The sequence below is a fragment of the Homo sapiens genome, chromosome 3 (genome assembly GCF_000001405.40).
Source record: "Homo sapiens chromosome 3, GRCh38.p14 Primary Assembly".
Classification (NCBI taxonomy): domain Eukaryota; kingdom Metazoa; phylum Chordata; class Mammalia; order Primates; family Hominidae; genus Homo; species Homo sapiens.
Genome location: NC_000003.12, coordinates 191,551,222 through 191,563,692, shown reverse-complemented (window position 1 = coordinate 191,563,692; position 12,471 = coordinate 191,551,222). Strand labels below are relative to the sequence as shown.

The 12,471-nt window shown below is 35.3% G+C and overlaps 1 long non-coding RNA gene across 1 annotated transcript in view, besides 1 other annotated feature; it reads right to left on the bottom strand.

The window, feature by feature from the left end:
* PYDC2-AS1 (PYDC2 antisense RNA 1) overlaps nucleotides 1–12,471 on the bottom strand; it is a 164,833-nt gene that overhangs the window by 26,664 nt on the left and 125,698 nt on the right. The window contains exons 3-4 of the long non-coding RNA NR_120606.1: nucleotides 6,309–6,431; nucleotides 3,939–4,015 (exon numbers count right to left, since the gene is read on the bottom strand). This is a non-coding gene — a long non-coding RNA (PYDC2 antisense RNA 1). The remainder of the gene's footprint in view (nucleotides 1–3,938; nucleotides 4,016–6,308; nucleotides 6,432–12,471) is intronic.
* Nucleotides 1,254–1,423: an enhancer, noted in NCBI's record as "experimental_67229 CRE fragment used in MPRA reporter constructs". NCBI's record gives its function as "activates a minimal promoter by MPRAs in K562 erythroleukemia cells, with activity observed for the introgressed 3:191280144 variant allele {active_cell/tissue: K562}" and the evidence as "EXISTENCE:reporter gene assay evidence [ECO:0000049][PMID:34662402]".

Here is a 12,471-nt window from a genome sequence, read left to right as displayed (position 1 = left end):
TTGGAACACTCAGTGAAAAAGACAGGACTGAAACAGGGTTTCAGGGTTGCAAAGATGTAAATTCCATGTGAAACAATCTGGAGAACTGACACAATTATATATATATATATATATATATATATATATATATATATAATCAATTTCTGTTTTTTTTTAAATGGGAAACACTCTAAAATATTTAGATCAAGTTCTTCATTTTAAAAATTGCGCTTCTCTGTCCAGTTTCTTACTCATCTGTTTTCCCTGGCAGTTTGGAGCTTACTGAAGACCTGGGGGTCTGTCACGCTAAAACAAATTACGTATTGCACCAGTACTACATAATTATAGCTAAAGATTCTTTCCCATGACACTAAATTTGATGCCATGTTCATGTACAATATACTTGGTATTCTAAAAAATTCTGAAATATTATTTATACTGTTTAATAATAAAGCATAAAGTATACTCTGAATATCTTAAACAGGTATATGTTCTTGATTGGCATAAAATGTTAGACTAGTTAGAATGTTAGTAATTGTTCTTTAATTTTATCATCTCTTTATAGATCTATTTATATCATTAGATTATTGATTTTATAAGCACTTACAGAAGACCCTCATTTGATAGCTGTTATATAATTTCCCCAAAATGCTAAACCTTAAGCAAATATATTTTATAGATAATAAATAACTTTGAAAAATATTCTGCTGACAAAATGAGTTAACATTCACCTGAATTTAAGGAATTGAAAAGTTTTAGAAAGATAATAAAGAGATAATTTATATTTACAAAGATTAATTCCCACGACAAGAAGATATTTCACTTTACAAAAACATTCACATTAGGATTTGTATAGACATCACTTTAGATATCCCTGTGTAAACTGTATATTTTATGTTAAAATATTATTTAAAGCTCATACGATGGAAAACTGTTTATACTGGGAAAATACTTAGGTTCTTAAAAGGTAATAGGTTTGGATGTAGTTGAGAAGCTGCAAAGTTTCATGAGAATGTAGTAGCAAGCAGACACACCCAATTAATTATGTAAATGTTAAATCAAGCATTCATCTATAGGTGAAATAGATCTAGTCAAGATAAAATTTCTTCTTAATTAGAAAATGGCAGTCATATTTGCAAGTGGCATATATAGATATAAATCTCCTTCTGAATAAATGGAATCAGGGCACCTAATTGGATTGAAAAATAATGTCACTTAAACCTGTCTCAGCTTAAGCACAAAACATGCCTTCCTTATTTTTAATGAAAATCAGAATTACCTGCAGAAGAAAGACTAAAAAATGACTCAAAACGTAGTAATTATTGGTTCTGGCTAGAGACCTGGGGATGTTTGATCCCAGTGAATTTTAATTGTAGAAGGAATATTACAACAAACACCTATGTAGACACTGTCTCTCTTGAAATTCAGCCACTTTATCATTTTGTTATCAAAAAATAATTTTTAAGTGATAAATAATAAATAGGTGGGGTTGAAGCCTCTCATGCTCATCTTGCATTCCATGACCCATCAGAAAAGATACTAAATATGCTTAATTTTGCATTTTTCAATACCATTCATGGTTGCATATATTTACGTCCTATATTTGCCTTTATTGAGTTGGAACATTATTATTTTGTATGATTTAGACTTTACATAAGTGCTACATCCTATACGTAGTTTTCTGCAACTTGCTTTTTGCCATGATCTTACATTCTTTAATATTTATCTTTGTTGATATGTGTAAATATAGTTGATTCATTTGAAGTACCCTGTAGTATATCGCATTATGGGTATATTATAATTTATTCATCTATTCACTTAATGAACATTCAGATTTTCTTCTATCATAATATAGCAATGTTCTCTTCTGTTTATGTCTTTTTAATCACATGCATGTTTCTCTGAAAATTGTTTTCACATCTTTAAATTTACTGGATATTATCAAATTGATCTAATTGTATTTACTATTATCTGCTCCATCAAAGAATAATCATTAGTGGTTTCATTCTAACTGTACATATTATTGCCAGGTGTTTAATTTTTGTATCATATTGTTGATGTATTATTTTATAAAATATAAATGATCCTATTTCCTAGGAAGCATGAGCATCTTTCAGTGTTACCTGACCATTTGTCTCCATTTTGTGCTGCTATAACAGAACACCACAGACTGGGTAATTTATAACAAACAAACAGAAATTTACTGGCTCATGTTTTTGGAGGCTGGAAAATCAAAGATCGAGGGGCTGGAATCTGGTGAGGGTCTTCTTGCTGCATCATCCCATGGCAGAAGAGCAAAGAAAGGGCAAGAATGAAAGAGAGAGAGAGAGAGAGAGAGACAAAAGGGTGCCAAATCTGTCTTTTTATGAAAAACCCAATACCAAGATAAGAATTCCATTCTCATGATAATGACAATCCATTCATAAGGGCAGAGCTGATATGGTTTGGCTGTGTCCCCACCCAAATCTCATCTTGAATTGTAATACCCATAATCCCCATGTGTTAAGGGAGGGACCCAGTGGGAGGTGATTGGATCATGGGGGCAGTTTTCCCCATGCTGTTCTCATGATGGTGAGTGAGTTCTCACTATCTTCTCTTGATGGTTTTATAAGTGTTTGAAAGTTCTTGATGGTTTTGTAAGTGTTTGACAGTTCCTCTTACACACACTCTTCTCTCTTTCCTAACAATGTTCCTGCTTCCCCTTCCTCCATGATTGTAAGTTTCCTGAGGCCTCCCCAGCCATGTGGAGCTGTGAGTCAATTAAACCTCTTTCCTTTATAAATTACCCAGTCTTGGGTATTTCTTTATAACAGTGTGAAAACAGACTAATACACAAAAGCCTTCATAGCCTTATCACCACTTAAATGTCCCATCTCCCAACAATGCTGCATTGGGGAATCAAGCTTCTAGCACATAAACTTTGGGGGACACATTCAAACCATAACACCACTTATTTATCCTCTGATATGAACCTTACCCATTTGCTTTGAGATTGTTTTTAAATCTTAAAGATGTTTTAGTTAAGGATATGAATAATCATATCACAAAGACAGATAATTAAATAGTCAAGTATCATGTCAAAAAATGTTCATTCTAAAGAATGATCCAGGATATAAAACCCATATTCTTGGTATTTGGTATGAGTATCTGTTTGGGTTTATTCCCAATTACATACATTATTGTTAAATTTTTATCTTTTACTTAATCTAAAGGAAATTATTTCCTGTTTACTGAGCAGAAGCATCATTTAATTTTCATAAAGCCCTAAAAGTTAAGAATAATTAATACCACATTTCATTGACTTAAACCTGGAAAAGTCCCTCAACTGGCTCAAATTCACCCAGCCAGAAATGAAAAATGTCAGGTTTGAAACTGAGGGGTATGGTTCTATGCTGTTATTTGTTTAACCACTCCACTATCCTTTCTCTCTAAATGAACTGTGGCAAAGGTTTTCTTCTTTTCTAATCCTAGTATCTCTTATTTCTTTATCTTTTCCTTTCAGACTTTTAAGAAGATGAAATGATGCTAACAGAAGCTCTGGTATTAAGAATATTAAGAAATTTTTATCTATTCCTACCTTTAAATGAAACACAATTAACATATCAGTTTTAGGAATAACATTTGTTTTTAAATTGATAGAGTAGCTCTATAGCATAGTGATTAAAGAGAGTAGGACTAGAGCTAAGATACCTAAAATGCTAATCCAAGTGATATGGTTTGGCTGTGTCCCCACCCAAATCTCACCTTGAATTGTAATAATCCCCACATGTCAAGGGCAGGACCAGGTGGAGATAACTGAATCATGGGGGCGGTTTTCCCCATAATGTTTTCCTGGTAGTGAATAAGTCTCACAAGATCTGATGGTTTTATCAATGGAAGTTCCCCTGGACAAGCTCTCTTGTCTGCCACAATAGGAGCAGATATGATAGGAAGAATCAGGCTATTACCCAGGCACTTACCCACCCTCCATCCATTGACAAGAATAAGGTTTTCATTTCCACATTGTGTGTTCTAACCTCGGTTTTATTAGCTCCCCCTGTAAAATAAAGGGGATGAAGTAGATAATTTATGGATCTTTCTAAAACAACATGTAGATTGCAATTGATAAATGAAAGAGGTAGAATAACAAGTCAGAAAAGAGTTTTCTAATCAAATACTGATTCTGAATCAACTGACTCCCCCTAAGAAAAAACAAATAATATTTGCTCTTCTACACTGTATACAACATAAATTTCAAAGTAAAATCTTGAAAAATAAAGCCTTAAAATTTTAGAGGAAAACATTTTGTATTACCTTAGTATAGCAAAATAAATTTAAAAACAGGGATTGGAAAGTACAAAACTTAAAGAAAAAGATAATCAGATTTGACTATCTTAAAATTAAATGTATGAAATACTAAAATATCAATATATAAACTTTAAAGTACAATTAAAATATATAAAATGTTAATACATAAATTTAGTAATAGCTATCCATAATATATATATAAATTATATAGATAAATACACAACAAAGTGAAAAAAATGTCAGTGATGAGCGGAATATACAAGTATCAGTAAGTTAAAGACAAAAAAATAAATGCAGAATAGGAGATTTTTGGTAGACTTTAAAAGACAACTAGAATTTTCCACATAAAAATTATTTTAGGCCAGGCACATTGGCTCATGCCTATAAATCCTAGCACTTTGGGAGGCTGAGGCAGGAGGATCTCTTGAGCACAGGAGTTTGAGACCAGCCTGGGCAACATGGTGAAACCCCATCTCTTAAAAAAAAAAAAAGAGCCAGGCATGGTGGTGCACGCCCATAGTCCTGGCTGCTTGGGAGGCTGAGGTGAGATGATCACCTGAGCCCAGAAGGTTGAGGCTGCAGTAAGCCATGATCATACCACTGCACTCTAGCCTGGGCAATGGAGTGAGACCTTGTCTCAAAATTATACGTATGTTCTTTAAAATTCAAAGATGATAAGCAGTTACTCTGTTTCATTTCCTTCTGGGGTAATAAAAACATATTAGAACTAGATAGAGGTGGTTGTTGGACAATATTGTGAGTGTACTAGATGCCACTGAACTGTTAACTTTAAAACAGTTAATTTTTTGTTATATAACTTTTACCTTAATAAAATCGAAGACATTAGATAAAAAGAATCTTGTTAATTTGATCACAGAACTTAAAATTAAGTTATGGTTCTCTTAAATTAAATTATATAAAAACAGAACAATTTGATATGTTTAAATATAGAATGCGGTTATTTTGATGTACTAAATATGGAATAAAAAGTTATGATTCTAAATTCCTGACACTATGAAGGACAAAAAAAGTTAGAACACATCCTCTTTGCCAGATGTCTAGCACAGTAAGCCAAGGTGTTGCTTGATAAAATATTTTGCACACTGCAGAAAATGTTTTTGACTTTCACTGAGACTTATCAAACTGGCTTATTCATTCTCTGATGGCTGCATGTTCAAGGTGCAAAAAATATTCCCATTTTCTCTTCTTTTAATTCTTTCTCTTTCCTTTTAACATCAATTTACCAATTAACAATTCCTAAGCCACAGATAACTACACAGATATTCCCATTATCTCATTTCCGCTTCCTCCAGAGGATTAGCTGACATAGGAGTAAATCTGAGATCAGATTGTTCAGGATGAACTTCATTTAGAGAATTGGTCTGGGAGTAGAAAAACACAATGGTTAGAACACGCTCTCAAGGTGCCAGACTCCCTGGCTTTAAGTCATAGCTGGTAATTGATGTGGATTCCCTACATCAACTATGTGACCTTGGAGAGGTGACTTAAATTCCATGCACGTCAGTTGCCTGACTTGTAAAATAAAAATGAGGATAGTAATAGTACCTACCTCCAAGCCTATTTTTTTTAAAAAAAGAGTTAACATAGAACATTTAGAACAGTTTCTGTCACATGGTAAGAGCACAGTAAATTTTAGCTATTGTTATGATCATCATTAGTAGCACAGCTTGAAAGCAAAGTTTGTTTCCCATTAGGGCATCAAATCCTGCTCCTATGGAGTCTAATGGTTTTTGAATTATGAATCAATGAGTATTCAAGAGAAGAAACTGCAGCACTAGGAGTCACACACCAACACTCACTCTTTGATTGACTGTAAATATTTGATGGTATACAATTGTGGGAGCTGATTAAAAACACATGTAAGGCTGCTGTCCTTGTGTCTGGTACTGAGGCTGAGTTCAGAAAGGGAAATGAAGCAACAATAATATGCTTGTTACATCCGGCGGTGGGGGTGGGGTGGTTATACAGGGGTCCTAGGCACTGTTGCAACTTGCTCACATTGTCACTGGTAGCTGACTTACCTTGTTAGTGTGAGGCAGTAGACAGGCCAACTGTTACTGAGGTTTCAACCAGATTCTTTTTTAGTTACTTTGATTTTTGTCACAAGTGCCATTTACCATTCGGATGAAGGACTCCAGCATTTCCTGCAGGATAACCAAATCATTCCAGTTGGAGGCTTGGACATATTGAAAGATCAATGTGAGTCTCAGTTCATCAGGGATCCAGACATTGATTATGGGTTTGTCCTCACTCTCACCGCTTTATACCCATCTTACATATCTGACTGCCTGTTGAGTCAGTAGACCTTTCAAAATTCATGCAGAACTCCTTTTGTTCCAAGTTTCTTCCAGTAACTTGGAACTCTTCAGTGAAGGGAATTCTTAGAAACGTAGCCCCAGATTTGCTATTGAGAGAATAGAAACCCATCACAGTCCACCCCTTTTTAAGCTAGCTTCCAATTACACGTCTTTTAGCCATACTGAACTTCTAAATAAAGACAGTAGCAAACCCACACTTTCACCTAACATAATGCAACTATCCCTCACAAAACCAAAAACATGCTAGCCCTCTCCCCAAAAGAGTATACAAATTTTCTTCAACTATTTTGGACTGATGTTCATTTCTCTTCTAGTTGAGTCACATTCCCCTTTTGATATTCTGAAATGTAAGTACTAAAATATGAAACTGACTGCTATTAATACACTGTATTGTAGACAGTAAGGAAATGGGAGAAGTGAGGATAAAAAATTGCTACTATATACACAAATCTATTCATATCAAAGTAAGGAAAGTTTTGCATGACCAATGCAGTGTTCATTTCTACAACTGGTCATATCAACTTAATTAGGATTTATAACTACCTTTTTCCACCAGTCATTCTATAACCCCTTTACCCTCAGCAAATACCTCAGCTGTTTATGGTTTCTTGCTGTGTAGGATGTCCCACATCATCATTCTTCAAGGATCTGGACCATTATCAGGTCTGCTTACTTCAGGCCATTGTAATTTTTTTTAATTGACTTTAATCTTGGGATATGTGAGTACTGGGAGGCATTCCATGGGATCTCCCTAGATTATTACAGAAACATTTTCCCCATGATTTTGTATTATATTTTCTATATGTATTATATTAAATACATACGTGTTTGTATTTACATATATATCAAATAGGGTATTTAGTATAGATGTTTGACCTAATGCCATTGTGTGAGCTGTTTATTTAGTCTCTGTGAAGCTGGTATATACAACCTGAATTCTACAGACCAGTAAGCATAAAAGGGAAGATGGGTATGAAGTTGGTAAAAGCTAAGACAAACTGGAACCCACAAACACAAGGTGGAACCCCTGAGGACAGAGAGGAACCCACATCAGTCTTTACCATCTCTAAGCCTCCAACTTTGATGCTGCAAGTGTTCTGCAAGACATGCTGATGCCTTTCAACAAGGAGCTAAAAATGTGCCTCCTTGGAAGTCAGATAAGTCAAATGAGGTTTCAGATGAGCTACATTAACTAAGAATTATGCATGGGAGGCAATTCTGGAAAACACACTTTTAGCCTACCTAAATTGGTACAATATGGTACCACAATATACTCCAATCCAGGCAAGAAAACAAACAAACAAACAAACACTCTGTATTAGAATGCAAGAGGTTTCTAATCTTCTAGAATTCATCCCCAGTGGTGCTTTTGTTTTGTTTCATTTTTTCAAAATCAGCGATTAAGTTCTTTTGTTAAAAATGAGAAACACTCTCCTAGAAGTTAATGTTCTACATTCTAGACTTGGTTTTGTAACTCAATAAGTTTGTGACATTCAGGAGTTTACTTTTCTAAACTAAGACTTTGCCTCCCCACCTATAATTGGAACAAATAACCCAGCCTCTTCTTATTCACTGATTTGTTGATATAAACAAATCAAATAATGGATGTTGAAATGTTCTGTAGCTTACAAAAAGTAATATACAAACTACGAATAGAATGATTAAATTTGTTTTTGCTTTTGTGAACAACAAAGACAAATGATGTCATCAACTACAGAGAATATAATTGATCTCAATTCCTTATGTGGCCTCAGCCCAGGTCCTTAATGACAGTTTTTTCAGCATTTCAACAAGCTGCCTGCTTTATGTGTGAGGCATTTTCTTTCCATGTGGCCAGCAGCAGGAAATGAAATCCATTACAGCCCCATGTAGGTGGTTAATTTCTCTGAATTGTCATTTAGCTAGATCTTCAGTATCTTCCTAATGATCTCCCTAGTGCAATGCAGTGCAAATCTTCCATGTTACTTGTCATCAAAGCAGCTGTTTTCAAAGATGCTATTTGCTTTTATTTTATGGATTAGTATCCTTTTTTACTTTAATGAAAAACACATTATTACACACAGGGCACTTGGCCAAGCACTGGAGATGAAGTTTGGGGAGGGGGTGATTTTTTTTTTTTTTGAGACGGAGTCTCACTCTGTCACCTAGGCTGGAGTGCAATGGCATGATCTCAGCACACTGTAACCTCTAACTCCCGGGTTCAAGCAATTCTCCTGCCTCAGCCTCCCAAGCAGCTGGGATTACAGGTGTGTGCCACCAGGTTCAGCTAATTTTTGTATTTTTTTTTTTTTTTTTTTAGTAGAGATGTGGTTTCGCCATGTTGGCCACGCTGGTCTCGAACTCCTGACCTCAAGTGATCCACCCACCTTGGCCTCCCAAAGTGCTGGGATTACAGGTGTGAGCCACTGCACCTGGCCACAAATCATTTTTCTACCTATAAAAAACTCCACCTACTCTAAAAGAAAGACCACAAATAAGATGAGAGAGAGAAATTTCTATTGGAGTCAAAAGAATGGGAGTTTGTTTCAATTGAGGGCAATTAGAATATATCTTAAAGGAAGATACACTGGAACCAGGCCTCAAAGAATATTCCAGATTTCCTTAAGTAGACAGGGGTATGTGCATTTCAGAGGTACGGCAGAGGGAAAAATAGAGAGAAAAGATTATGTCTGTAAGAAAAAGTTGTCATGAGCCTGGTGAGTATAAAGTTGAATAACATAAGAAAATGATTTGTGTATGTCCCAGATAGCAAAGGCCACCTAATCAGTTGGAACTTACCCCAGGAGCAAAAGTGAGCTATGTGAATGGGCTAGTGATACAATCAGAGAAGTGCTTAGAGGGTTGCTCTGTTTTTCTACCTATAAAATAAAATCTGGACTAAGAGACCAAAGTCTTGGAAAATACTTGGCTTATTTATGTATTAGTGCCTGTATGGGGAAAAGATTCCATGAGGATAGAGATTTGGTTGAAAAAAAGAAAGGATATGAAATGCAGGCAACAAAAAATAAAGACATTGTGTTGTATCAAATCTCTGTCACTTAAAATTATTACCTTCTCTCCTTTGAAGCAAGTCATTTTTTCTTCACACACAAAAATATACGGTGGCAGGATTATCTAACACAGCAACATATTTTGAAGTAATACTACTGGAAAAAATCTTATAGACAATCATGGGAGAATTAGGATTCTGCAAATTCCCTAATGACCCTTCTCCCCATCATTTCAGCTCTAAAAGATTTGGAGGATCACTTTGGGATACAGATGTAATAATTGAATGCTGCTGTGCTCAGGGAAAGGCTTCAGATTCTCCATGGGTGAGTTGGGCCATCAGCTCGCTGCTACAGTCAGCAGTAAACATGGCGGCATATTTGAAAGTGGAATAATTCACATTCCTTCCCTAAAACACAACATACGAAGACATACTCACTGATGTGCATCATCGACTTTTCTAACATCAGGTGAATGCAGCACAAGAGCTGGCCAAAGGCCAGCTGCCATTTTACCCCCATCACTTGCTTCTTCCATCACGTTTATCTTTTTAATTTTGCAAATATCCATGCTATATTAATTATATATGCTTCCATAATTTTGCACATGCCACGTTTTTCTCTTTGCCTCGAGTACTGTAATCCTTCCCTCATCCTGTCTGAACAAGTATTTTTCTTACTCAGAAATTCAAGAAAAAATATCACTTTATCTCTCTAACTTTAAATGTTTTGAGAAATATTTAATTATTCACTCTCTTATCTGTTAAAATTGTACCATGTGCATACCTCTAGTGTTACATTTAATCACACACTGAATTATCTCAGTTCATATATAGTATATCCCTCAGCATGTATATACTGTTCCATAGCCTGCATTTTATCCAATAACCTATATCTAGCCATATTTTATTGCTCTATCCTTGATTATCCTTCACCATAACTTTCTTACCTACTTCTAGCTTATATTATTTTATACTGTATGAGGTTTTATAGATTACCTAAGTCATATCTGGTGCAAGACGAGGTATATATAAATGCATAAATGTGTGAATAAACAAAGTAATAATCTCTCCTCTCCTACTGGCCTATTCAATCCTTGATGCATCCACTGCCTTTGGGTGACCTTCGATGTTTCTGAAGGTGGCAGAATAAATAGCATACAGCAAGGGCTCACTCGAGTTTGGTTAAGAAGCAAACTTTTTGAGAGCTACTTCTTAATACTTTTAAACAAGTGAATTAGCATTTCCATCATAACTGATACTTTTGCTGAAAGAAGATGTGCATGCTTTTAAGTGTGAATAAAATGTTATTCTTGTTATGTGGATTAGGAAGATTTTTTTCAAGTGTCTTTCTCAGTGGCATCTACAGATCAACTTTAGGCATTCTATATGACAAGTATATTATAGATCTACATGCTAAAGACAAAGGGTAAAAAACATTCAGAGTCATTTTATGTTAATGTAAACTGACCGCCTCCTGCTTTACTCACTTACCTACATCCTGCTGATCTCATGGCTTCACCTTTTTGACATTAAAAGAGAGGGGAAAAAAACTAAATTTCTTTACATTGAAATACATAGAACACTGACGTTAGATAAAGGGTGATTTTTTTTAACTGGCTGCTTGGCTTATCTAGGTTTTATTGTTAGCTTTTTATAACTGGTTCCTTGTGCAAATGTATTTGATGGACTAAACAGTATATACTTGTACAAATGTGCATGGGAACTTTAAGAATGGTGGTAGATTAGATATTCATCATAGTTCTCCTTGAAGAGGTCCTTCACGTCCCTTGTAAGTTGGATTCCTAAGTATTTTATTCTCTTTGAAGCAATTGTGAATGGGAGTTCACTCATGATTTGGCTCTCTGTTTGTCTGTTATTGGTGTATAAGAATGCTTGTGATTTTTGTACATTGATTTTGTATCCTGAGACTTTGCTGACGTTGCTTATCAGCTTAAGGAGATTTTGGGCTGAGACAATGGGGTTTTCTAGATATACAATCATGTCGTCTGCAAACAGGTACAATTTGACCTCTTCAGGGAGAACTACAAACCACTGCTCAATGAAATAAAAGACGATACAAACAAATGGAAGAACATTCCATGCTCATGGGTAGGAAGAATCAATATCGTGAAAATGGCCATACTGCCCAAGGTAATTTATAGATTCAATGCCATCCCCATCAAGCTACCAATGACTTTCTTCACAGAATTGGAAAAAACTACTTTAAAGTTCATATGGAACCAAAAAAGAGCCTGCATCGCCAAGTCAATCCTCAGCCAAAAGAACAAAGCCAGAGGCATCACGCCACCTGACTTCAAACTATACTACAAGGCTACAGTAACCAAAACAGCATGGTACTGGTACCAAAACAGAGATATAGATCAATGGAACAGAATAGAGCCCTCAGAAATAACGCCACATATCTACAACTATCTGATCTTTGACAAACCTGAGAAAAACAAGCAATGGGGAAAGGATTCCCTATTTAATAAATGGTGCTGGGAAAACTGGCTAGCCATATGTAGAAAGCTGAAACTGGATCCCTTCCTTACACCTTATACAAAAATTAATTCAAGATGGATTAAAGACTTAAACGTTAGACCTAAAACCATAAAAACCCTAGAAGAAAACCTAGGCATTACCATTGAGGACATAGGCATGGGCAAGGACTTCATGTCTAAAACACCAAAAGCAATGGCAACAAAAGACAAAATTGACAAATGGGATCTAATTAAACTAAAGAGCTTCTGCACAGCAAAATAAACTACCATCAGAGTGAACAGGCAACCTACAAAATGGGAGAAAATTTTCACAACCTACTCATCTGACAAAGGGCTAATATCCAGAATCTACAATGAACTCAAACAAATTTACAAG